The 25807-nt window shown below is 40.8% G+C and overlaps 1 protein-coding gene across 3 annotated transcripts in view; it reads right to left on the reverse strand.

Moving 5' to 3' along the window:
* SERGEF (secretion regulating guanine nucleotide exchange factor) overlaps positions 1-25807 on the reverse strand; it is a 225000-nt gene that overhangs the window by 195251 nt on the left and 3942 nt on the right. For all 3 annotated transcript variants that reach the window (NR_104041.2, NR_104040.2, NM_012139.4), the window contains exons 2-8: positions 24643-24778; positions 23293-23448; positions 21143-21237; positions 17199-17259; positions 12498-12611; positions 9633-9695; positions 5299-5457 (exon numbers count right to left, since the gene is read on the reverse strand). Coding sequence is in view for 1 of the 3 variants with exons in the window: in NM_012139.4 (NP_036271.1) it covers positions 5299-5457; positions 9633-9695; positions 12498-12611; positions 17199-17259; positions 21143-21237; positions 23293-23448; positions 24643-24778 (784 nt within the window). In the remaining 2 variants the exon portion in view is untranslated. The remainder of the gene's footprint in view (positions 1-5298; positions 5458-9632; positions 9696-12497; positions 12612-17198; positions 17260-21142; positions 21238-23292; positions 23449-24642; positions 24779-25807) is intronic.

Consider the following 25807-nt stretch of genomic DNA (forward strand, 5'->3'; position numbering starts at 1 on the left):
AGCATTTGTAAGCACTGATCTTTCTGCACTCTTCAGGAGAGTTCTGAATCAACTTGTCACCCATCCAGAGACATTCACATCCAGCCCCACAGAGATATAAAGAGAAGAAATGGAGCATGTGATCTCTAGAGAGCTCAAGAGTTTCCAAAAGAGTAGTGGGAGCTAATGTGTCTTTAAAAGACATATGAGCCAGTCCTGTGCTGGATGCTTTAATACATCATCTCTTTTAATCCTCATATCAGGTCAGCAGTTATTTCCCCACTTTCCTAATAAGGAAATAAGTTCAAAGAAGTTGGGTTTTTTCATTTGTCCAACATGTCTTAAGTAGGCAAAAGCAAGCATGGCTCCTGCCTTCATGGGGCTTACAGTCTAGTGGGAAAGGAAATTAGTCAAAGAATGCTACCAAAAAAGAGCACAAAAGAGAGGTTTACGGTGCTATGAGAACAGAAAAAAAAAAAAGGAGAAATGACTAGTCAGCAATGTCAAGAGAAGTTCTCCCAGATACCTAAGTTAAGGGTTAAGACTTTAAAAAAAAAAAAAAAGGATTTAGCTAAGTCAAACTGAAGAAGAGGTGCATGGATAAGTGGCCAAATAGAGGGAATATCAGGTGCAAAGGCACTATGGTGGGAAATGAATGATGCTTTCAAGGGACCAAGCAAAGGCCAGAGTGCAGATTGGATAGGGATCAAGAACTAGCATGGTGAGAAATGGGACTGGAAAGGTCAGCAGACATCAGATTACATAGGACCTGTAGAACCACTAAGGATTATATTTTCATCATAAGAGCAATGGGAAGCCATATGAATGTAACACAATGGGTTTGAAGAGATCTTTCAACTGAGGTATGAAGAATGGGTTGGAGGGGAGAGGGAGGATATTAGTCATTCTCACACTCCTATAAAGAATACTTAAGACTAGGTAATTGATAAAGAGAAGAGGTTTAATTGGCTTATGGTTCTGTAGGCTGTACAGGAAGCATAGTTCGAGCATTAGCTTCTGGGGAGGCCTCTGGAAGCGTACAATCATGGTGGAAGAGGAAGCGGGAGCTTGGACATCATCTGACAAGAGCAGGCGCAAGGCAGCAAGAGGGAAATGGTACACACTTTTAAACAACCAGATCTCATGAGAACTCACTCACAATGGCAAGGACAGTACCAAGAAGAATGGTACTAAACCATTCATGAGAAATGTACCCCAATGATCCAATCACCTCCCATCAGGCCCCACCTCCAACACTGGGGATTACATTTCAACATGAGATTTGGGTGGGGACACACATCCAAACTATATCAAGGAGTAAATATGGGAAGACCAGAACACCAGTTAAAGGCTACTGCAGGATTTAGTTAAGAGGTGACAGTGGGCTGAACTAGGGTGGTGACAATGGAGACAGAGAGAGGTGGAGCTGCCCACAGTCACACAATCAGTAGGTTAAGAGAGCTAAGATTCAAGCCTTGGTCTATCTGACTTCAAAGCCCAGGTTTTTCTCTACCTTGCCATTTACTTATTCATTCAGCACTTAGTTACTGATCATCTGTTATGTATCAGGCCTGTGCCAGATGCTGGGGATATGGCCATGAACAAAACAGACACTGCTCTCATGTAATTTACAGTCTAGACATTAAACAAATAAGAATACAAAGAGATGTACACAATTACAAATTGGGATGAGTATCCTGAATTTTAATAGGTAATATTACAAATTAGGCCACGAAAATCTTCCAAGTTGTTGATAATATGAAAGAGCCACTTGCCTACTGCATGCAAGTAAAAGACTTTAGAAAACTTTGCTGTCAGAGTTTGATATTGAGTATGGCATCCCTGGCCAGCTCATGAGCTTTCAGGCTAGTAGTCTCAAGGTGGCATTATCCCTGTGGAAACAGAAGTCTTTCTAAAAGCAACTACTAAGTCTTTAATTTACTTACATACCCCAGGCAGCCATCACTTATGTATGCATTTTACAATAGTTGGGATCTTTCACAGATTCGTTCATTTGAACATCATAGCAGCCCTATGTAGAATGCAGGCAGGTTTTAATACCAGACTTCAGAGTTGAGGAAACTGAGGCCTAAACAGGTAAAGTGACTTAATCAAGGTCAACAAACTAGGAAGGCACCCAGATCTGCCATCCAACTCTCATTAAAAGCACCTCCAGCCAGGAAACCATGAATCTCAGATGAGACACCTGCAGGTCACTGAGCCTGGATAAAGTCACCCAGGAGTCCCATGAAGTTCCTGAGAACAATGATCGGGAACATTAAGCAGCTTGGGAAAGGTTTCTAGAATGCAGCACCATGAGCCTGAGACACAGGTACCCTTGCCAACTCTCCCAGATTAGAACAGGTTCTCTTGGACTCTTTCCAAGTGCCTCTGACTAACAGAGAAAAGTATTTTTCCATCACAAACACTGCAGGCAGGCATCAGACAGACTCCTGAGAGGGGAGGGCAGAGAACACATCCCAGATTCCCATACAGACAATCTATAAAGTTATTCTGATACCATGTGAACTGCCTTAGCTAAGCACCTACCACTGGGGATGTCCAGTATTGAGCAGTGTTTCTCAATCTTGACACTATTAACATTTGAAGCTAGATACTTCTTTGTTATAGGAGACTGCCCTTGCATTGTAGGATGTTCAGCAGCATCCCTGGCCTCTACCCATTAGACGCCAATAGTGTCTGTGCATAAACTCTTTTTTAATCAATATCACACAACTAATGCCTCCCAGAATGAGACTGAGAGCAGCCTCTGTGCTGATGTGGCCTGCAAGTTCATTCCAGGAACAATTCACCACCGGAGCTTGTGAAAACAACTACAGTCAAATAACTCCTTGTTCCACTAATGAGCTGCTCCTGACCCTGTGAGGAAATCTTATTCCCATTAATGTGAGTGCTGAGTCTGATTAAATAGAAGCCCTGGGTGTTTCTTCTCAACGACACTGGGCCAGAGCACGGGCCTCCACTGCTGCTAGAAGGAACACAAAATTGGTGAATCATGTAACCGGAAACTCCCATTTACCCAAAATTCAGTACAAAAACCAGGACATTCAAACATCCCAGGTTTAACCATTCTGGCCTTAGGATAAAGGAGAAAGTGGCAATGTACAAAAACAAGCAATCTGAATTAACAAGCTAAGTAAATAGCTGAAACGTTACCAAAAAATCATGCTCTTGAAAGGAGGCAGAAACCTGACGCTGAGCTCCAGAGCAGCTGGGGTGACTCAGACAGTGTCAGAGACATGGGTTCCAACCTCCCACCCCAAGGGCTGGGCTGCTGGCCCAGATGTGGGAATCGCATCAGCTAGAATGCTTCAAAGCTAAAATCAAAGAAGCAACATCTTTATGTCTTTCATTAGTCAACTACCTGACTAGTTAAAGGGTTTACTGACAGACAACCAAATTCACCACCATTTGGTAGTAAGTGTATTTTAATGTACTGCAATTCTTGGAAGACTGACTAACCATGAAATGCCTACCTGTGAACACCCAATCACTCAAGACTACTGCTAATTTCTATGCGACTTTTGCCCTTTGTACTTAGCTGTATTGTTGCACATCTCATACTGGAATGTAGTAAAATTTTATCACAGGTCTATCACCCCTAGTGGACAGTGGACTCCTTAAGGGCAAGATTTACATCTAGTACAAGGCATGGTACATAAAAAGACCCTCACTATTTGTATGATGCATGGATGATAAAGTTTTCCATCTCTATATTCTTAGGCTTACACCTATCTACATATTCTAGTGGGAAGATATGGCCTATGTCTTTTCTCCTCCATTTCCCCAAGGCTTAACACATTGCTCAATAGGTGCCTAATAAACATTAACCTATTTGGTTGGACACCAGAATCCAAAGAGACAAAGAAGCTTTCTGTTCATGAACATCTAAGTCCCAGGAAAGAGGTCAGAAATCCTAGCTATCTACCCTGCCTTGTATGCATTTGTGTATGTGTAGTCTCTTTTAACTATAAAGAGTTTGATGCAGGAAAATGAGTAAATTCTTTGATAGGCATTGGAGATACAGAAGTGAGCAAGACTAATCTGGTGGCTTCCTTCACAGAGCTCATTATCTGAAACAAAAGAGAGATATCAACAATTACAAACATACAAAACCCAGCTACTATGCTCAGTGAGTCTCTTTAGGAAAAGGTTCTGTAGATAAGCCCAATCTTCAAGCAATCTGAATCTCTTTGAGGAAAGTGACGACCTTCCTCCTAATGAATGACACACTTTGCTTAGAGCATCCTCTAAAGCGGTAATATGGAAAGTTTATTATACACCTTTGTTATACAGGCCTCTATTGCAAAATGATCATGAAATGTTTTAAAAGACCAATTAAAAGCATCATAGGTATGACTGCTCATAAGTCTACATTTGTGTATAGAAATGCGTAGTATATGTGACTTACCAAGGATAGCTGAAGCTGACCTGAAAACCTGCAAAAGCCAGAAACTTCTGAAATAAGAGTCACTAGATATTTGGGAGTCTAGAGATGTGTGTGTAGCTAGCAAGCAGGACAGGAGTAGGCAAGGGAACTCCTGAGAACCCCTGAAGCTCAGAATACTTTGACATGATAACAGATCTTGGGAATTTCAAATTGGCTGGGGAACTCTGTGAAATCAACAGGCAGGAAGGCAGGGATGAATAGAGGCCATGAAAAAACAAAATCTGAGGACAAAGTTAACAATATGAAGGCCAGGAAAGTAGAACTGCCCTAAGGGAAAGATGAGAAATAAACGAAGATTCAAGAAAAGATGAAGATGCCAAAAGCTGTATGGCATGATGTGGTAACATCTGAGGGAATATATGAGATGTCTGAACCAATACACATAGTTTATTAGGTCAACAAAAGTTTAAATCAGAATTCCATGCCAGCTATGAATCAAAATAATGTTCCTACCTCAATCTTTAGATATTTATCTTTCACTTAACATTTTCTGATGCTTTTAATTTAGACTTAGACATGCAAATAGCTATGACAAAGTAAGAACTTCCCAACAAGCTGGACAAATTTCTGGATGACGCTTGCTGCAATGGATCCCTTCTCAAAACCTCATGGGCTCTTAGGACCGGAAGGAGTTAACTTAACCCAGGCTTGCCCTTTTGGGTACAAACCTGTGACTCTGAGAGGAAAAGCCACATATCTGGCTGGTGGCAGAACTAGATCCCAGTATCCCCATCTCTGATCTTTAAGCTTTCATCAGTAAAAAGGCTTAACCCCAAGCACTCATGGCTGCTTAGACAGCTGTCCCCCAGCTGCTCTTACCAACCGTAAGTTCTCTGCTACTGTCTCACCTGTCTGAGCAACCAGGTGTGTCCATCCACTCCAGATGGCAGTGACCTTTTCATTCTGGAAACAATGTGCTTCTATTTTCTGGGGCACAGGAAGGAAAGCAGCCTCATTAGCCAGTTGCCCATGCTTGTTGCTTCCCCAAACATACACCTCTCCTGCATCTTAAACAAACAGAAGGGTAACAAAAGAGGTGAGGGAACATTAGTCCAAAATGATGGAAAATAACAGAAGTCTAAAAAATAAGTGGTTAAAAGAAGTTGTTTTATACTTAGACTACAAGGTTGAGTGGAGCCAAGCAGGTTACAAAATTTGTGTACACCATAATAACTTATTACAAGATTTTCAAAAATTCTATACATAAAAAACAAGGCCAAATGTTCTTAGTAGCTTAAGAAATAAAAATGTGTGGTTTTCTCTTCACTTTTTCATTCAACAAATATTTATGCAACATCTACCATGTGTATGAGACACATTTCTCTATTTTCTACGTTTTTAAAATATATGCCTATACCTTTTGTATGAAAAAAATGCTTTAAATTTTCAAAATAACAGGTTAAAAGATACATTATTTAAGCTTAAATTTTTTAAACATAAGATTATTTCACTGCATGCCCTGTCCAGCAGAAAATATAATGCTATAGAATCGCATCTGGATAGCACTTCAGTTTGTTTTAACCTCACAATAATCCTGTGATATAAGCAGGAAAGTGACTGACTGACATTGTGATTTAACAGAAAGAGAACAAATTCAGAGTCAAGTGACTCTGGCTTCTATTCCTGGATCTGCTAACTAGCTATTGACCTTGGACAAATCACTTCCTCTCTAAGACTTAGTTTCACCAGCTGAAAATTGGAAGGGAAGGCTGTTGGTCTAGAAGGGCAGACAATATGACTGATGACACTGGTAACAAGAATGACTGGCAGGTGACTGTGGCAAGCCAGAGAGTACGTGCCTATCTAAAAGGCATTCACATTCAAAAATATTTTGTAAATGAAAGCCATACAAAATGAGGCCATGGGCAATAATTTAGCCTATGGCTTGTCAATTTGTGACTCCTCAGCTTTTCCAACCCTTATAATCTAAGGATCTACAGCTGTACTACCCAATACAGTAGTTCACCACCTACATGTGGCTATTAAACACTTGAAATGTGGCTAGCCCAAACTGAGATACATTGTAAGTGAAATGCTACTCTCTCACACAATGGACTGCAAAGACTTAGTGCAAAAAAGAGTGTGGCTCCTTATAATTTGATATGGGTTACATGTTGAAATAATATTTTGGATATACTGGGTTAAGTAGATATATTATTAAAATTAATCCCACCTGTTTCTTTTTACTTTTTGAACTATGGCTCATATTATATTTCTATTAGCACTGTTCTAGAAGATAAATTAATCAAGGCTGGAAGATATTAAATTACTTTTCAGGATCACATGGCTAATAAGGAGTCAAATAGGGACTAGAAGCCAGGTCTTCTGCTTTCACTGCATTTTGTAGCTTCCCAATAAAACTTGATAGTATTGCTTGCCCTAGGGCAGTCTAGTATATTCCAAAAAACTGACAGAAAGTCAAACAGTATCATTAAGGGGCTTCAGACTAAGGTTCAGAAGTCTCCAGTTCAAGTTCCATCTGTTACCCGATCACTGTTTGACACTGGGCACATCACTTCACATTCTAGGTCTGTTTCCTCAACTCCAAAATGAGGGAGTATAAATCAGTGAAACCTTTTTGTCACTGGGGTGACCCTGCAACATTGACATTCTGCAGTTCTATGAAGTGAATTTGGTGTATTCCATTCCCAGAGAGAGGTCAACCTCCTGGACTTCATCAGGGTGTGCAAAGTATGAAGATCTCTTACAAGATAGCAAAGAAGCCCCCTCAGCAAAGTATCAATCCATTAAGTGGACTGCTGAGCTACAAAGATGCCACTGACGATGAAGCCTGTGTAAACAACTTCACTTATCTTAGTAGCTCTAAACCATCTTTTTGAAAGTCAAACTGTCTTCCAGATGAGGATCATTATGCTGTTGCCTCAGCAGGTAAAATTAAATTCTGCTGCAATGCCAAATAGTTATATAATCTACAACCACTCCAGAGAAAGTGTCTAAAGAGCATTGAACAAAATCCAATGTGTAACAGCTTGAACTAGATGAAGAAAGAGAGGGCTATTAATCTTTTTTTTTTTTGAGACGGAGTCTTGCTCTGTCACCCAGGCTGGAGTACAGTGGTGTGATCTCGGCTCACTGCAACCTCCGTCACCCGGGTTCATGCAATTCTCCTGCCTCAGCCTCCCAAGTAGCTGGGATTACAGGCACGTGCCACCACACCCAGCTAATTTTGAATTTTTTGGTAGAAATGGGGTTTCTACAAAAAAACTCCATTTTTTAGTAGACCAGTGGCCAGGCTGGTCTTGAACTCCTGACCTCAAGTATTCCATCTGCCTCAGCCTCCAAAGTGCTGGGATTACAGGTGTGAGCCACAGTGTCCAGCAGGGCTATTAATCTCCATAATCTTTAGCTCATTTTCAAAATATCAAAAACCATTTCACTTTGTGAATATATTAAAAATTACTAAATTGTATACTTTAAATGAAACTTAAGTTCTTTGTATACTTTAAAAGAAATTTAATTTCTTATATTTAAAATACATCTTAATTAAAATATTCAACATTTATATATAAATAACACCATAATAAAAGTGCCCTACATATGAAATAACAAATTTACTACCAACAAGAATTTTTAAGAAGTTGAAGTTGGCAAACAATTAGACAAGCTCTAGGTTTACATACCATCAGTCATTTCAAATTAATTAGAACAAAACAGAAACACCTCGTAGTCTACTTTTATTCTCAGAAAAGAATGCCTTCTCCATCCCTCATTGACTGTGGGGCACGAACACATCACTTCTCACCCTAAGGTCTCTAGTCCTTCTTCTGTAAAAGGAAGGGAGGAACTGGATACCCACTGGAGTCCCTTATAGTTGGCATTCATTTCAACTCAACACTTTTAACAAATATTAATATATAAATCTACCTAATGTGAGACACAAGTTAAAAGTAGGTGCTTTTTTATTAGATGTTTGTTTTAAATTCATTAAATGACAAATTATCTGCAGCTCAGAATTTGCAAAGCATTTAAACTTTCATATTATGGCTCCCGTGCTCTTGAAATAACAACTTCTCAGCTGGGCTGCATTGCAAATTTGATGTCGAAGAATGCATACCACCATTAATTTACATATATTATGGGCACACCTGAATTTCCACATAAAACACTAAGTACGGAAGTCCCTCCTCTTTGCTTAAAAAATAGAATACATTCAACTCTGTGAGAGGTCTTACCAAACAAAATATTATAAATCTCTCAGATGTATAGTCTCCAGTCTACCAGCAGGGGTCAGGGCAATGTGGGCCAAAGAGAAGGGATTACTGTCACTTTCAAGAAAATGCTGCATTGCCTTGGAAGGAAAAGTCACTAGACAGTTTATACTGTATTGGCTCGGTGTTTCAAATGGAAGGATGAATGCGCAGCCAAAGAGAGAGATATAGTGTAGGATAAAAAAACAGTTAAGACAGAAAAACAGATAGATCAAAGAGATGAAGTAGATAAATTAGAGAAACATATAACAATATAAAATATTTACAAAACTACATATCTAGAGTTAGATATATAGACACACAGATTAGATATTACAAAGATTAAAGATAAATAGATACATAGGTAAACAGAGTAGATAGATACACAAATGGAGACTGATAAATGGATTAGAAAGATATAGATGGATAAAACAGGTTACTTTGAGATTAGACAACTAGAGAGTATACACAGGTAGAGAGCTTAGACAGTTACAATACACACCAAAATAGATTAGATGGATAAGAGAGCAGCTTCTACCCTCATAATCGTAGGTATATCAGAAAACTACAAAGAATTCATAATTATATTACACTGTGTTATCCATATATGTTATATATAAATTTACTGTTGATTACATGATTTGACAACCACCATTACCCTGAGAGGAAGACATTATTATCCTTATTGTATAGTTAAGAAAGCAAACTCAGACGAAATGGAAGTGAGCCTATGTCTGCTATTCATGATTTATATGTATTATATTTAATTCTCGTAACTGCCCACAAAGTCTTTTACAGACAAGAAGATGGTCTCAGAAAGGAAAAGTAATTTGCCTAAGAGCATACCAGTGGTAGCATCAGAATTCTAGCTCCAAAGTCTATGACATTCCCTCTGTATTTCAATATCACCACTTCAGGCAGTCACATACAGAATCCTGAATGGCATGTTAAACCGTGAAAGAGCTGGTACCTACCTGTTAATGAAGCTGAGTGGTCTGAGCCAGCAAGAACACACATTGCTTTAGAATTCTCTAGACCTACAAAAGAAAAAATGTTCTTCTGAATTACATTTATAACAGAACAAACTGGGCAGAGAGGGGGCACTCAGCCAGTACCACCTGGGCGTGGGAGAGACTCAGCCAGTGCAGGCAGGCCTGAGTCAGCAGCACTGGCCAAGAAGATGGCTGGCATTGTAGGGAGCCTGGTAACATGCCAGGAGATTGAACAATCAAGTAAATACATTCAGGATAAAGGAGCCAGATTCATCACTATCAAAGAGGGGAGGAAAGGTATAGATATGAAAAGGGGAAAGGCTATAATCAACCGTGTAATATTGGATAGTAATTGGAAAAATCAGTGTAAATTCATGATTTCTAGTAGAGACAGATAAATAGACATAGGTGTGTGTATGTAAAAATGTGTGTGCATGTGTGTGTGTCTGTGTGTCTATTTCCTAACTCCAGCAGTTGAGTGGGTCTAGAGCAATGACATCTCATACACTCAGCTGTTATCAAACGCAGGCACTTAAATAACCCCAAGCCTCCTAAGAATACACAATCAGAACCAGATTCTGAACTGGGCTTCTTTCTCCAAATTCAGCACTTTTCCTTCCTTAATTACACTGCTAAAAGTGGAGCTAGCCTGTGATGACATGCAGTCTAGCATGCAGATAGACGCAGACTTATTCTGTAACTTTTTTTTCTGACACTTCTTTTTAATTAATAACTGTTGTAATAAAATGGCCCTCACACCTTCAAGTGTCCTCTGGAATGATAACAGGACAAAGCAGATGTTTTCACCCATGTTCACCAGAGAGGAAGTACTGGGCCCCTAATGGCCAGGTGAGGAGGGAACAGCCCGGGTTCCAGCTCCAGAACTTTTGGCAATGAGGTGAGAACGGGAGGACGAAAAGTGAAAGACTTTGAGGACTGGAAGCTGATGATCCATTCTAATGTCTCATCAGGGAACTCCCCCAAAACCAACTCTGAATGTAAGCTGTGCCCCACCCAAACAGATGCCAAACAGGTTGTTTAAATGAAATAAAATAAAAAACATTTTTTCCCTCTAATAACAGGTCCTGTGCTAAAATATAGAGCAAAATGACACACCGCTTCCACCCTTTAAAAGTTCATAATCTTCAGCATATGAGAAAACATACAGACAATTCATAATAACAGTATACTGTGCTATCCATGCATGTGAAGTTAATGCAGTGAACACTAGAAAAGAAAAGGTCTTTACTGAGAAAGGTGTATCTGAGCTAGGTCTAGCACTTTGGGAGGCCGAGACGGGTGGATGACGAGGTCAGGAGATCGAGACCATCCTGGTTAACACGGTGAAAACCCTGTCTCTACTAAAAATACAAAAAAATTAGCCAGGCGTGGTGGCAGGCGCCAGTAGTCCCAGCTACTCGGGAGGCTGAGGCAGGAGGATGGCGTGAACCCGGGAGGCGGACCTAGCAGTGAGCTGAGATCGCGCCACTGCACTCCAGCCTGGGCGACAGAGTGAGACTCTGTCTCAAAAAAAAAAAAAAAAAAAAAAAATTCTTAGAATTTTTCCCAGAGGGAACACAAAGGAAAAGGCATTTCGGGCAGAGGTAACAGTTTTCCCATAAGCACAGAGAAATGAGAAGGCAGGATATGCCTGGGGAGAAGTGAATACCTTGATGAAGAAGACAAAAATGTTTGAGAAGTCCAAGTTTACATTATACATGTTTCTAATGTCATGTGAAGTGGACTACCTGTCCCACATCCAATGCTCCTTCTCCTTTCTAAGAGGACCTTCCCCAGCTCAACCCATGGGTTTCAGGGAAGCTAAGCCCACCCCTAGCTGAAAGAGAACACCTCCAGGACTTAGAAAAATTAGAATGATCTCAACACCCAATTACATCACTCCCACTGCAACCCACCCTTTCCTATTCTTCCCCCACCCCTTCCCACCATCCTCAAAAATCCCTGATTTGTTCCAGGCAACAGAAGAAGTAGTTACAAGTCTCCTATACAAGTTTTTCCTACAGCCAAGCCTGGGTAAACTCGGTCACAAAGTAGAAGAGTGAGAAAGCAGAAAAGGGAGAAGAGGAGGAAATGGAGACATGGTGCTGTATACAGAGGGAGAAAGGCCCACAAGGAGAGCAGAGAGAGAGAAAGAAAGAGAGAGAGAGACAGGGGAAGAAGGGTGGGGGGAAGAAAAGGAAGGAGAAAATACAGACCAAATGACCAACAGACCTTTGGGCAGAACACATATTACCTACTCCTCGTATTTTCGCGTAGAGAGATTTCCCTGTGGGAACACTCCTGGCCCCTCTGTCTACATCCTCACTCACTCCTGCTTCCTTTTTGGGAGAAGGAACTGGCCATGCAAGGCATGGTCCTCCTGGGTTCCCTCTTTGGGGTGTGCCTGCCTGAAGAGAGGGTACATCCTCATGTCCTCTTGGTCAGGCGTTAAGTTTAGTAGGGCCAACTCTATACAAGTACCCCGGTGCTTGGTGGGTAAATTCAATCTGAGTTTCAGAATTAGGGGTTTGAAGACAATATATAGTCATAGTGAGCCTCTAATCATGTCTTCCAACCTAGCTTTTAACAGTTCTAGAGTTACCATTTCAATCTCCACCTACCTGACTTGCATCTATGCCTCAATCGGTTCCAAACTCTGGCAGCAAAGAGGGTTGCTTCTACTGGGCCAACAAACAATGCCAGCAAGACTAACAGACCAACTAATAGAGAAAGTTAGAGAGACCAAGAAATAGCAAAATCAAAAATCCATTTAATCCTCTTCTGCATGTTTATGTCTCTACTTCCTGACAAAGAACAAATATAGGACTAAAGAAAGAAGCATCTTACCTGTCACTCTGCTTGGTTCCTTTGCTGTGAAAAACAATGGAAGAGTCTGCCCAGGGCACAACCGTCGTCCACATGATGCCAAACCAGTCCCCCACTGGAACACGATGCCACTCGCTTCCCAACAGAATGGAAGAGAAAGCAGAGAAGATGCACATCAGGATAAGACTAGATTGCTCTTTGAACCTCACTGCTATGAGAAATTCCCAATTCTTTCTCAGTTAATATGAGTGTTATGGAGAAGCTCAATTGCTTCAAGAGGTCCTGTAACTGGCCCAGGGATTACCACCAAGCCAATCACAAATCCAGTCTTCAGGACAGACTAAGACCATCAAAGCAAATTCCAATATCACATAACTTCCTACAAAAAGTTCCAGGACACTCCTTCAGAGTCAAATCAGTGGAATGACACCTTATTCATGATTAACCTGAAAAGACAACTCAGATCCCAGACAAAGCAGAAAAGAACCTTGAAGATCATCAAATCCATTCCTCACATTCAGTAGATGAGAAAACTGAGGCCCTGAAGAGAGGATGCGATTTGTCTCCTCAGGCAGGAAGGTAACAGCAGAGAAAATGCCAGGACTCAGCTTTCCTAACACCTAATGTAGTGCCCTTTCCACGACACCAAGATGAATTCAAAGATTCCTAATTGCCAAGTAAATACATATTTATGACTGCAAGATAGCTTCTTAATAGCCATGATTTCAGCGGAATGGCCTTTTACTTTCATGCCCACTGAATCTAATTCATGTACCTATGTTCTGAACCTCATACAAATGCAAATATGAAATTCTAGATATTTGATCTACACTCAGGTGTGTGAAACTAGGATCCATCACCCAACAGCAACATTAAGGTTCTGCTCCTTTGGGAGTATCCTATAAACAGCAGTCCTTTTTAAGGCTATAAACAGACAAGCCTGTTTTGTGAAAAATAAGCTATGACCACTGAGCACAATGTGAGCAAAGCACAGTGTTGAAATAAAAACTTACAATCTCTTCAACAAATTGACTTCGAGAGGAAAAAAAAAAAGAGGAAAAACTTTATAAGAGACTTCAGATAGCTGACAGGAGATGAATATCCAGAATATATAAAGAACTCCAAAAACTCAACAACCAAAAGAAACAACTCAGTTAAAAAATGGGCAAAGATGTAATCCCAGCATTTTGGGAGGCTGACATGGGAGGATTGCTTGAGCCCAGAGTTTGAGAAAAGCCTGGGCAATATAGTGAGATCTCATTTCTACAAAAAATTTAAAAATTAGCCAAGCATGGTGGTGTACACCTGCAGTCCCAGCTGCCTGAGGTGGGAAGATCACTTGCGCCTGGGTGGTGGAGGCTGCAGTGAGCCAAGATCACGCCACTGCACTCTAGCCTGGGCAACAGAATGAGACACTGTCTCAACAAAAAAAGCGAGGGAGGAGGGTGCAGTGCAAAGGATTTGAATAGACATTTCTCCAAGAAGATATACAAGTGTCCAGTAAAAACATGAAAAGATGCTAACATTGCTAACCATCAGGGAAATGAAAACAGATATCACCTCATACACATTTTGATGCTACTATTTTTAAAAACCAGAAAATAACAAGTGTTGGTGAGTTTTTGGAAAAATTGGAACCTCGTGCACTCCTGGTGGAAACAAAATGGTACAACCTCTGTGGCAAATAGTATGGTAGTTCCTCAGAAAATTAAAAATAGAATTACCATATGAACTAATAATTTCACTTCTGGGTACACATCCAAAAGAATTGAAAGCAGGATCTTGAAGAGATATTTGTACACCCATGTTCATAGCAGCATTATTCACAATAGCTAAAACATGGAAGCAACTCAAATGTCCATTGACAGATGAATGGTAAGCAAAACGTGATATATCCATACAATGGATATTATCCACTTTAAAAAGTATCTAAACGCCGATATATCCTACTCCATGGATGAACCTTGAGGACATCATGCTAAGTGAAATATACGCCAGTCACAAAAAAGACAAATACTGTATGATTCCACTTAGATGAGAGACTTACAGTAGTCAAAAGTATAGATACAGAAAGTAGAATAGTGATTGCCATGGGCCAGTGGAATGGGGAATGGGGAGTTATTGTTTAATGGGTATAGAGTTTCAATTTTGCAAGACAAAATGTTCTGGAGATGGATGGTGGTGGTGATTGCATAATGATATGAATGTACTTATACACTTAAAAATGGTTAAGATAATAAACTGTAAACTACGTATATTTTACCATGATAAAATTAAGAAAAAAATAATTTTTTAAAAAAAGAAAGAAAGACTTGTGATACATATCAACTAATTACAATATGTAGACCTCATTCAGGCTGGGCACAGAGGCTCACACCTGTAATCCCAACACTTTGGGAGGAGAAGGCAGGAAGACTGTCAGAGGCTGAGAGTTCAAGACAAGCCTGGGCAACATACCAAGACCCCATCTCTACAAGAATAAAAATTTTAAAATTAGCTGAGTGTGGTGGCACATATCTGTAGTCCCAGCTACTTGGAAGGCAGAACCTAGAGGATCGCTTGAGCCCAGAAGTTTGAGGTCGCAGTGAACCATGAACACACCACTGTACCCCAGCCTGGACAACAGGGGGGGACCCTATCTTAAAAATACATACATACATACATACATATATATATATATATATATATATATATATATATATATATATATATATGCATGTGTGAGTGTGTGTGTTATATATATATATGTTTATATGTGTGTGTGTGTGTGTGTATGTGTATGTGTGTATTTATATACAGTCATGGGAAGAACTGTATCCCCCTAAAATTCAGATGTTGAAATTGTTGAAACCCTAATGCCCACTGTAACTAGATTTGCAGATAGGGGCTATGGAATGCAATAAAAGTTAAAGGGGGTCATATGTGTAGGGTCTTAATCTAATAGGACTGGTGTCCTTATAAAAAGGAAGAGACATCAGAAATCTCTCCCTCTCCACAGGCACACCCAAAAAAGGCCATGCAAGAACCGAGCAAGAAGGTGGTCACCTACAGGCCAGGAAAAAAAAAAAAACTCACGAGAAACCAATCCTGACAACACAATAATCTTAATACTTTTAGCCTCCAGAATGGTGAGAAAATAAATGTCTGTTCTTTCAGCCTCCTAGTTTGTGGTATTTTGTTACGGCAGCCCTAACAGATTAGTACTGTGGTACATCCATACCATCAAATACTACTCAGCAATGAAAAGGAATGAATTACTGATATACACAACTTGGATGAATGTCTACGGAATTATGTTGAATGAAAAAAGCCAACCTCAAAAGGTTATATACTGTATGATACCATTTATAGAACATTTTTGAAATGACAACATCATAGAGATGGAGAACAGAAGAGTGCTTAGCCTAGGGCTAAGAAGTGGTTATAGGCAGGTAGAAATGGGTGTGGCTATAGAAAGGCAACAGGAAGGATTCCTGTGGTAATGGAACTGTTCTATATCTTGACTGTATCAATGTTAATATCCTCATTATGTTATTGTACTATAGTTTTGCAAGATACCATTAGGGGAAACCGGGAGAGAACACACAGGGTCTGTTTTATTTTTGCAGCTGCATGTGCATCTGCAATTATCTCAAAATAAAAAGTTGAATTTTTTTTGAAGTATAATCAATGCTAAGCCCAGGACTATCAGCACAGTCCTGCATTGAGCTCTTCCTCACCTCCTCTCTCCTTCCTCCACTCCACAAGTGGACTCACGAAGCACCTGAGCCTCAGCTGCCACAGCCAATTAGTGCTGTCCTTCAGTTCAAAAGGAGTAAGAGCAGAAAAAATGAAAAGGGGAGAGATAAAAGGGTCACCATTCTCCCACACGCCACCTCCCTGTCCCCCTCACACACAGACTGTCAGTCCCATCACCCACTCACAGTACAGGAGACAAGCTCACTTAAAGCTTTTAAATTAATAAACAATAAAATCCATTAGGAAGGCTGTGCAGTTCCCTGCAAAAAATATGAGCCTTAGGATCCAAACCATCCCAGGCTCTGATCCAAGCTCTACGTTACTCCCTGTATAAGCTTACACAAGCACTTTAACTCTGTGCCTCAGTTTCTTCACATGTAAAATGTAACTCGCATCACTTCCTGGTTGTGAGGATTAAATAAAGTAATCAAATAAATAGCACCTAGCATCATACCTAGAACACAAAGAGCTAGAAAACTTCATTTCCTTCCTCTCTACCTGCTAATGTCTTTCCTACATGACTTCTGCCTTATGTTCTCTCCTTTTCATCAGAACCACAATGCAGCAGGACCCTTTGAAATATTTCCTAAATGGTTTTTCTCCTAAAGTTAAGTTTCCTCTTATTACAGACCTATTTTAAAAGGCGGAGGGCAGGCTGGGCACAGTGGCTCACACTTGTAATCCCAGTACTTTGGAAGGCCAAGGCGGGAGGATTGCTTGAGGCCAGAAATTCAAGACCAGCCTGGGCAACATAGCGAGACCCTGTCTCTACAAAAAATCTTAAAAATTAGCAGGGCATGGTGGCATGCACCTATAGTTCTAGCTACTCAGGAGGCTGAGGCAGTTAGACAGCTTGGGCTCAGGAGTTCAAGGCTACAGCAAGCTATGATCGAGCCACTGCACTCCAGCCTGGGCAACAGAGTGAGACCCCATCTCTAAAAAGTATTAAAAATAAAAATAAAAAAATAAAGATAAGATGATCACCTGTAGCAGCTACTGCATGCCTCAGTCCAGCAGCAATACAAACAACCTTCTCTTTATGGAGCTGTCAAAATAAAGAAAAGGATTTAGATCTCAGAACCATCCATCTACAAAATTTTATGTAATTTATACCAAATACAATGCAGTACGGTCCTCATTATGGGTCTGACTGGTTTAAAGCAACCACTCCCCCCAATATTTCCACCCATTAATACCTCTACATTTATCCCTAAAAGAAAAAAATATATCTTTTAAAATACCATATCACAATACCATATGACAACAACTCTCAGGGCTGGGAGGCACTTCTAAGGTCATCTAGTCCAAGAGTTAGTAAATGTTTTCTGTAAAGGGACAGTTAGTAAATGTTTTACAGGCCACAGTTTCTGTCACACTACTCAGCTGTGCCATTGTAACATAAAAGCAGCTCTAGACTATACATAAATGAATGAGCATGACTGTGTGCCAGTAAGACTTTATTTACCAAGGGCTCAAAGTTTCCCAACATGATCTAGTCCAATCTCCATCCAACAACACCCCACCAAGTGGTCATCCAACTCCTGCCAAACACCTACCCCCAGTGACATAGGGATCGCCATTTCCCCAGGTGCCTGTTCCATTTTTGCACAGTTCCATTTATCTCTTTAGGTGGAACCAAACCTATCTGCCTGCAGCTTCTGACAATGCTTTCCAAATATTTGAAGACAGTTGTCATGTCCTCTCTAAGACATCTTGTAGTGGTTTTAAAAATAGGTCCTCAAATTCTTGCTACTCCTCCCTTCAAGATGTGGAGCTTAATACCCCTCCCCTTGTGTGGGCTGGACTTAGTGACATGCTTTTAATAAAGAGAATAAAGCAGCAATGAGTGACTCAGAGTCTAGGCGAAAAAAGGCACTAAGGCTTCCTGCTTAGCATCTCTCCCTCTCTCTCTCATCACTCCTGGGGGAAACCAGATGCTATGTCTGAAAAGTCCAATAGAAAGGTCCACATGGCAAGGAACATGAAACCATTAGGGCTTTACCACATTTGTTTATTTACAGGTCCACGGAGATTGCAAGCAGACCCAGCTAACATCTCAACTGTAACTTCATGAGAGACCAGCTAAGCTGTTCCTAAATTCCTGACTCTCCGAAACTGTGACATAATAAATGTTTGCTGTTTTAAGCTGCTAAGGTTTGCAGTAATTTGTTACACAGCAATAGATAACTAATGAAGATCTTTTCTTCAAAGCAAATATCCCCCATTCATCAGCCATCACTGGATTTCAAATTCCCTTCCCCTCCTGGTCTTCACTTCTCTAAATATGCTCTAGTTGTTCAATCTTTCTCTTTTAAAGGAACTCTATAGCATAATCATAACCCCATTAAGGCTTACCACATTTGTTTATTTACAGGTCCACAGTGTCTTTCTAAACTTTAGGACCCTCAAGGGCAGGACCTGAGTCTTATATACCTTTATGCCCAGGGCCTAAGCACCAAATCCACAACAAAACACAACATCCCAGATGCAGGCTGAACAGCAGAAAGGGCTGAGCTTTGGCCTTCCTTCTTCTGGAAACTATACTTCTGTCAATGGAGTCCACAATCACATTAGCTTACGAGAAGATCAAATCTTAGCGTTAATACAATTTGAACATATTGTCCTTTATATTTTTCTTTTGTTTTTCCCCAAAAAACTAACTGAAGGGCTTTACATGTGACTTCAGTCTCTTTAACACCACTCACCTCCACCTCTTACTCTCCATCCCAACTGTTGCTGCTTTAGTTTGAGCCACAATTGTTTCATTTGGATTGTTAGCAAGAGTTTCCTCAGTAACCTTCCTTCAATCCATCTTCCTATCTGACCTCCCTACCATGTTGTTCTTACCATGTGTCACATACAACCACCCTGATTGCCCCATTCCCACCCACTCTACCCTGGAACTTCCACCTCTTCCTTATATTCCAACCATACTAAACTACTTACGATATCCCAAACTCTCCTGTTTCATTCCGTTGCACCTTTGCTTACATGGTTCCTTCTGCCTAGAATGTTCTTCTTTTGCACCCACTCTGAGCATCCTCCTATCCCAAGACGGGTAAACCTCTATTTAACTTTTGAGACCTAGCTTAAGCCTCTTCTCACCCCACCTTCCCCCAGATGCTCAAAACTCCCTCCTTTGGGGATATACATGCATCTGTCATAGTTCTGACATGGTATTACATTTAAGTATTTATGTGCCTATCATGTCCTACCAAACTATAAAACTCTCAACTGCTAGGACAGGTCTTATTCAACTTTGCTCCCACTGCCTAAACATAGTACCTACACATAATGGTTGTCATTAAATAAATGAATGAATTTCTATTAAATTTCTCTTTGGCACATTGCTCCTATTGTTGCATAGAATGTCACCTGTCAAAATGTTTTTACTCTCTGATTCTGTCAACCAACATATTTTAACCATTGTTCCTCTATTCCTTAATTATATAAAGTATAATTAAGCTAAATTAATTATAACTTATATGTAGGTGCTTACAAGGCCATCTATTTGCAATTGGGAGCTATAATACTTCCTTCAGGGACTACAGAGCCTAGACTTTGTGCATACCATGGGAACCATGACCCGAAATAACAGTCCACAGACCAACAACTGAGTTCAGCAAGCTGGCAGGGGCAGACCCAAGCTTTCTCTAGGGAAAAAACATCTCCCACTATTAATCAGAGTTTAGGGAAATTAGATCGGAGTGGGACAGCTTAGGTGGTAAAACTCATTTTTGATTCAAGCATATTTCTTTAAAAATTCTATATTCCTATTATGATCACTTACAATATAAACTTCACAAAAAGGGGTGATTTTAAGTATGATGCACTGAAGTAAAGAGCTCTGAACTAGAGCCAAGAGTCCTGTTTAACACTTGTTTTGTCCAATATGGTAGCCACTACCTACACATAGCTCTTGAAAACTTGAAATGTGATTACACTAAACTGAGACATATTGTAAGTAAAAAATGCATACCAGAGTTCAAAGACTTAGTACAAAATCAGTATAAAATACCTTGTTAATAATTTTTATACTGAATTAGCTGGGAATGGTGCCAGGCACCTGTAATCCCAGCTACTCGGGAGGCCGAGGCAGGGAACTGCTTGAACCTGGGAGGCGGAGGTTGCAGTGAGCCGGGATCGCGCCACTGCACTCCAGCCTGGGCAACAGAGTGAGACTCCATCTCAAAAATAAAAATAAAAACAAAAAATAACTTTATACTGATGACATGCTGAAATAACAGGCAAATCTATAGAGACAAAAAGTAGATTAGTACTCACCAGGGGCTGAGGGGAAGGGAGAATAGGAATTGACTGCTATTAAGTACATAGTTTCTTTTGGTGGTAATGAAAATGTTCTAAAATAAGATAATGATATTGGTTGCTCATCTCTGTGGATATACATTTTAAAGGGGTTAATTTTATGGTATGTGAATTACAGCTCAATAATGCTGTTATTTTAAAAATTACTTTCACCTGTTTCTTTTTTAAATAGGGCTACTAGAAAATTTTAAATTACATATGGCTCACATTATATTTCTACTGGCTAGCACTGGCCTATACCATTTGCCTAGCTTAGTGTCTTTCGACAAATCACTTCTATCTGGACCTATTTCTAACATAATTTCCATTATTACTAATTTTAGAACTGTAAAATGTCATCAATATCCTTATGAGATGTATTACTCTTATTGTTTTATTTCACAAAACTTCATATGAAGTGTATGAAAACTAACAGAGGTTTTCATTCACAACGTTTACCTCCCAACTTAATTTTTCCCAGAAGGACCTATTTTTCAACTCAAATTCTCCTACTCCATGGGTTCTCAGGGATCCTGACAGCCTTTTATTCTGGGGAGAGATAGGTTAATACCTTGGAAACACTTTAACAGGTCATGGGCAAGCTAAATATTAACTGTCCTCACCTCAATGGCCTGGGGAACCACACATCTTCGAGGTCCATGAGGAACTCCTAACTGGCCAAAGGAGTTGGATCCACATGATAGAACTTGACCATTTTCTGCAAAATACAAATACTTAAATTGCAAATCTATGAAGTAAGATGTCTGTGACCAATGGGTAAATGCTGCAGGGTGAGAGATGCAAAGGGGATGAGGGGAAGTGCTTCAGTGCATTCAGACCATATTCCCTGCTTTTATTCCTCTAGGAATGAAAACACTGGGCACCAGGTTAAGCACTCTACACAGATTGTCTATTCTATTCTCTCATTAATAACAGATTATCTGTGTAGAACACTTAACTCAGTGCCTCGTATTGGGATGGGAGGATAGTAATTTTTCATTTTTCATGTTTCCATGTGACAAAATTTCCATTAGTAAAACAACACTCCAGCTTTTCTCCCTGCCCTTCCCCATCCTCACTGCTTTCTAGGGGACAGCGGTCATGTAACCAACTGGTGAGTTTAGGAGATGGGACAGGACATGTGTGGCTTGGCACCTCCCTCTCAGTCATTCTAGGCTGACACATAGGAAGCATTTCCCTGTGGGGAAAGCCTAGAGATTTGGGGGTAAGTTTGGACCAGAAGAATATTAGGACCACTGGCCTCATAATTAATACTGTCCTCCAATTTAGCCTTTACCAGTGAAAAGCCAATAGTTTTTAATCTCCAATACTGACTTCTCTGTGCTTTTCTCACAACTGGCTCCAAATGTGAGCAGGAAAGAGCATTATCTACTGACTCCTTACAATCCAAAACATAGGCTCACAATAAACACCTTATAAATGATAGTTATTGTTTAGATTCTAATAATCACCATCAAATTCAACACATATTACAGAACCCCTCCACAGAGGAGGATGGTGACACTTGAGCAGGGTTTTAAAGCTGGGATTCGAGTCCATCAGATAGACAAGAGGGGCTGGTCCAGACAGACAGAAGAACATATACTGCTTGGTATGACCAGAAAGAAAAGTATGAGGAGTGTGGAGAATAAGAGACACAGCACAAAGATAGCTAGGGAACAGTTACAGAAGGCCAACGCTAAAAAGCTAGGAATCTGAGCTATGTCTGGGAGAATCCACAAGGGTTTATGACAGGAGAGTGACAGAAGATGCCCTTGCCAAAGGACCGTGGCAAAGAGGGAGCCTGGTCAGAAACCACAGATGGTCCTTTAAATCCAGAATGGCCAGCTAGACAGAGCAAAGCTGAACAGAGAGGTCAAAACTGCTTCAAGGGAACAGACGTCAGCTGACAAGGTAACTACTGCTGGCTGTTCCCAAGTGCATTACTCTAATAACCCTCTGGCCATATCCTATCCTGCTACCTGGCTTCACAAAGACCAAACAGATCTGCCTAACACATTTAGAAAAAAAAAAATCCCACAGTGTGAAAAAGCTGCCATCACTGCTTTGGCAACCACTATTGCCTCATATTCTCCTACCACATTCCCTGTAAGTAACCCTCTGCTGCCACTGCTGGCCACTGGCCAGCTACCCCAAGCACACAGCTATCATGAACTTTTGGGACAGGAAGTGGCCACCAAAGGTGATCTAGTCTATTCCCTACTCTCTGACAAAAGTTTTCCACCCCAATCCCAGTCTCCTTTACCGTTAAACTCTCCTTAGAAAAGGTAGTCCACAACTTTCCTTGACAACCAGAGGGAAAATTTGTGTGTGCTTTTTATTTATTTTTATTTATTCTGAGATGGATTATTGCTCTGTTGCTCAGGCTGGGGTGCAGTGGCGCAATCTCAGTTCACTGCAACCTCCACCTCCCAGGATCAAGTGATTCGCCTGCCTCGGCCTCCCAAATAGCTGGGACTACAGAGTAGCTGGGACTATAGGCATGGGGTACCACGCCTGGCTAATTTTTGTATTTTTAGTAGAGACGGGGTTTTACCATGTTGGCCAGGGTGGTCTCGAACTCCTGACCTCAAGTGATACACCTGCCTTGGCCTCCCAAAGTGCTGGAATTACAATTGTGAGCCACCGCACCAGGCCTTATGTGTGCTTTTTAAACACAAAGAGGCTTTCATTTAATCTGCAGTCACCATCATCATACTGTTCTCACCCAAAGCCTTTGTGGTGACAAAAATCTACCTAGGAGTGAACTCACCTGTGAGCATAATCGTAAAATCCCAGCCACAGGCCACCTGTTGGATGGGACAGCCAAAGAGGGATTTGCAGGGGGTAAAATATGGGATATCCTCTGTGTGACCAAGCCCCAGTTGCCCATCTTTGTTCAGGCCACAAACAAAGAGGTCTCCTCCATCTGCAAAATATAAAGGCATCAGTGATAGCGTGCACAGGAAAAAACACAACTGCAAAATGAACAAAAAGATTTCACTAATTATTTGGACTCTCAGACCAATAACTTTTTTTGCCATCCAAGTTAATAAGCTGTGTATGTTCATGTATTCTGGAGCCAAACAACACAAGGCCAAGGGCCTCAAACTAATACCTACAGAGAAACTTCAAGTCTTGGCGCAGTGGTCAATCAATCACCAAACTGAGCATCTACTGGAACAAAAAGCCAACAACATTTATTCAACATTGAGAACGTGCCAGGTACTGTTTTAAGAGCTTTTTGTGCAGAGCGGACTTATCCTTTAGGCACAGTGTCTAGGGCCCACAATGCTTTCAGAGGCCCACAGAGTGGCTTAATTTTTAGTTATTTTTAAATGAGAAAAAGATAATATAGTAACAATGCATATATAACACTAAATCTGGAGTGGATTCTATTAATATCCATCTTTATACCAACACAGTTGTAAAATATAATTTTTTTCTTTACAAAGGAAGAGGTCCATAAAGGGAAAAGCACCAACGACCCATGACAGTCGGAATGGAGCCCTGCTAACTCACTGGTTCTCTTCACCCACCATTATTATCCTCATGTAACAGATTCAGAAACTGTGGCTATTTGCCCAAGGCCACATAGATAATAAGTCACAGAACCAGGATCTGAACCCAGAGATTTGATTCCAGAGCTCATGTTCTCAACCAGATGCAATATGCCCCCCTTTACAACATTGTAGCACTTGTACTACTTGTTAAGTGCTATCCTAGATACAGTAAGGGAAGATTAAGGGGAACACACAGTTTTTGCTCTCAAGGAATATCCAATCTAATTACAAAGACTTCTAATTCCTATGGTGTAAAATATACATTGTAACTCTGCCACTACTTTGCCTTGTGATGTTAAGCAATCAGTGTTCCTTTCTGAGTTTCATTTGTATAATGGAGGGGGTGGGGGAAAGGGGTGGCCTAGAAGATCTCTGAAGTCCTTCTAGCCCTGAAAATCTAGGATCTTCTGATGGTAATTTGGCTCTTTCACAAAAATGTTTCACAAAAATACATTATTTTCCTCTGCAAAATACAAAAGGCTGAAAGATGGCAATATCATATCCAGGGGAAAACGTCTAAATAAGAAAATGAGTGACTATCTACTTTTGAAGGAAATTACCTGTGACAACTGCAGAGTGGCCCCCTCCTCCTGTGATCCTCCTGACACTCCTGGGTTTACAGAAGTCATTCAGTTGCTGGGGCAACAGCACATCTTCCTTATGGCCGAGGCCAAGTTGCCCATAGCTATTTGCACCCTAGGGATGAATAAGCCAAGGATGAAAAAGTGTGGGAACCACAACTGTCAATGTCTATTTACCTGTCTCTGTCTCTCTCACCCTGACGTATCTCTCAGACCCTGTAACAGATGAGATTTATTAGGCTCATTCTTTTTTAAAAAAAAATTTTTAGCTCCTTCACGGCAAATACTCACAGCACTGTTTATTCAAATATATAATAACAAGCACCAGAAAACAACAGGTAACACTGTCTCCCCACCCCTGATCTGTAATCCCATTAGAAAGAGACTCATGACCATAACAGTGGAGGAAATTCATGTCCAGGAAAGTTCCTAGGTAGGCACCCTGGCAGGCTTAATTTACTGGGGCAAAGGACAAATGCCCTGCTTGGCCTCCTGCAGCAGCTGAAGAAACCACACTTTTTTCTACCTCAGGCCCCAGAAGGCAAAGCAGCAATGCTAGCCATGGCTGAAGGGGACATGAGTCCTATGAGGTCCTTGGCCTAGCCCAACCCTCTGGAGGTAATGGGGTAAAATGGCCTTTCCTCTTAGAATGGCCAGGAAAAGAGAGGCCATCTCCTAAATCAAGGTTCTTCTGACTGAGAACAAGACAGCCTCTTGAGGAGGAGGGGCTTCTCTTCTCTAGAGAGAGTTCTGGGCTACGAGTCGTTGGCAGGTGTATCTCGTATCTCTCCTTACCCCCTCCTCCTGCACCCATGCCACCTCACTGCTTTCCCTAGCTGAACTTCAGCCCCCAAATGAGAACACTATCCAGCGTGTTTCAAATAAATTATAAATATGGACACAGAATCCAAACAAAGTTCCAGGAGAAGCTGCTCACAGACCCCTACAGGGTCCAACCTGAAGAAAAATGAAGGTCATTCCTTTGTTATCTGTGTCTCTGGAGCTGTGGGCAAAACTGTCTCCCCTTGTCCTTGAGTAACCACGGGAACAGCTCAGGACAGAGAGAGTTTCAGACTTAGAAACACTCTTACCCCATCTCCTTTCTTCCCTCCTCAAATCCCTTCCCCAAAATCTGAAAAGAAAA

This window comes from Homo sapiens, chromosome 11 (assembly GCF_000001405.40).
Source record: "Homo sapiens chromosome 11, GRCh38.p14 Primary Assembly".
Lineage (NCBI taxonomy): Eukaryota > Metazoa > Chordata > Mammalia > Primates > Hominidae > Homo > Homo sapiens.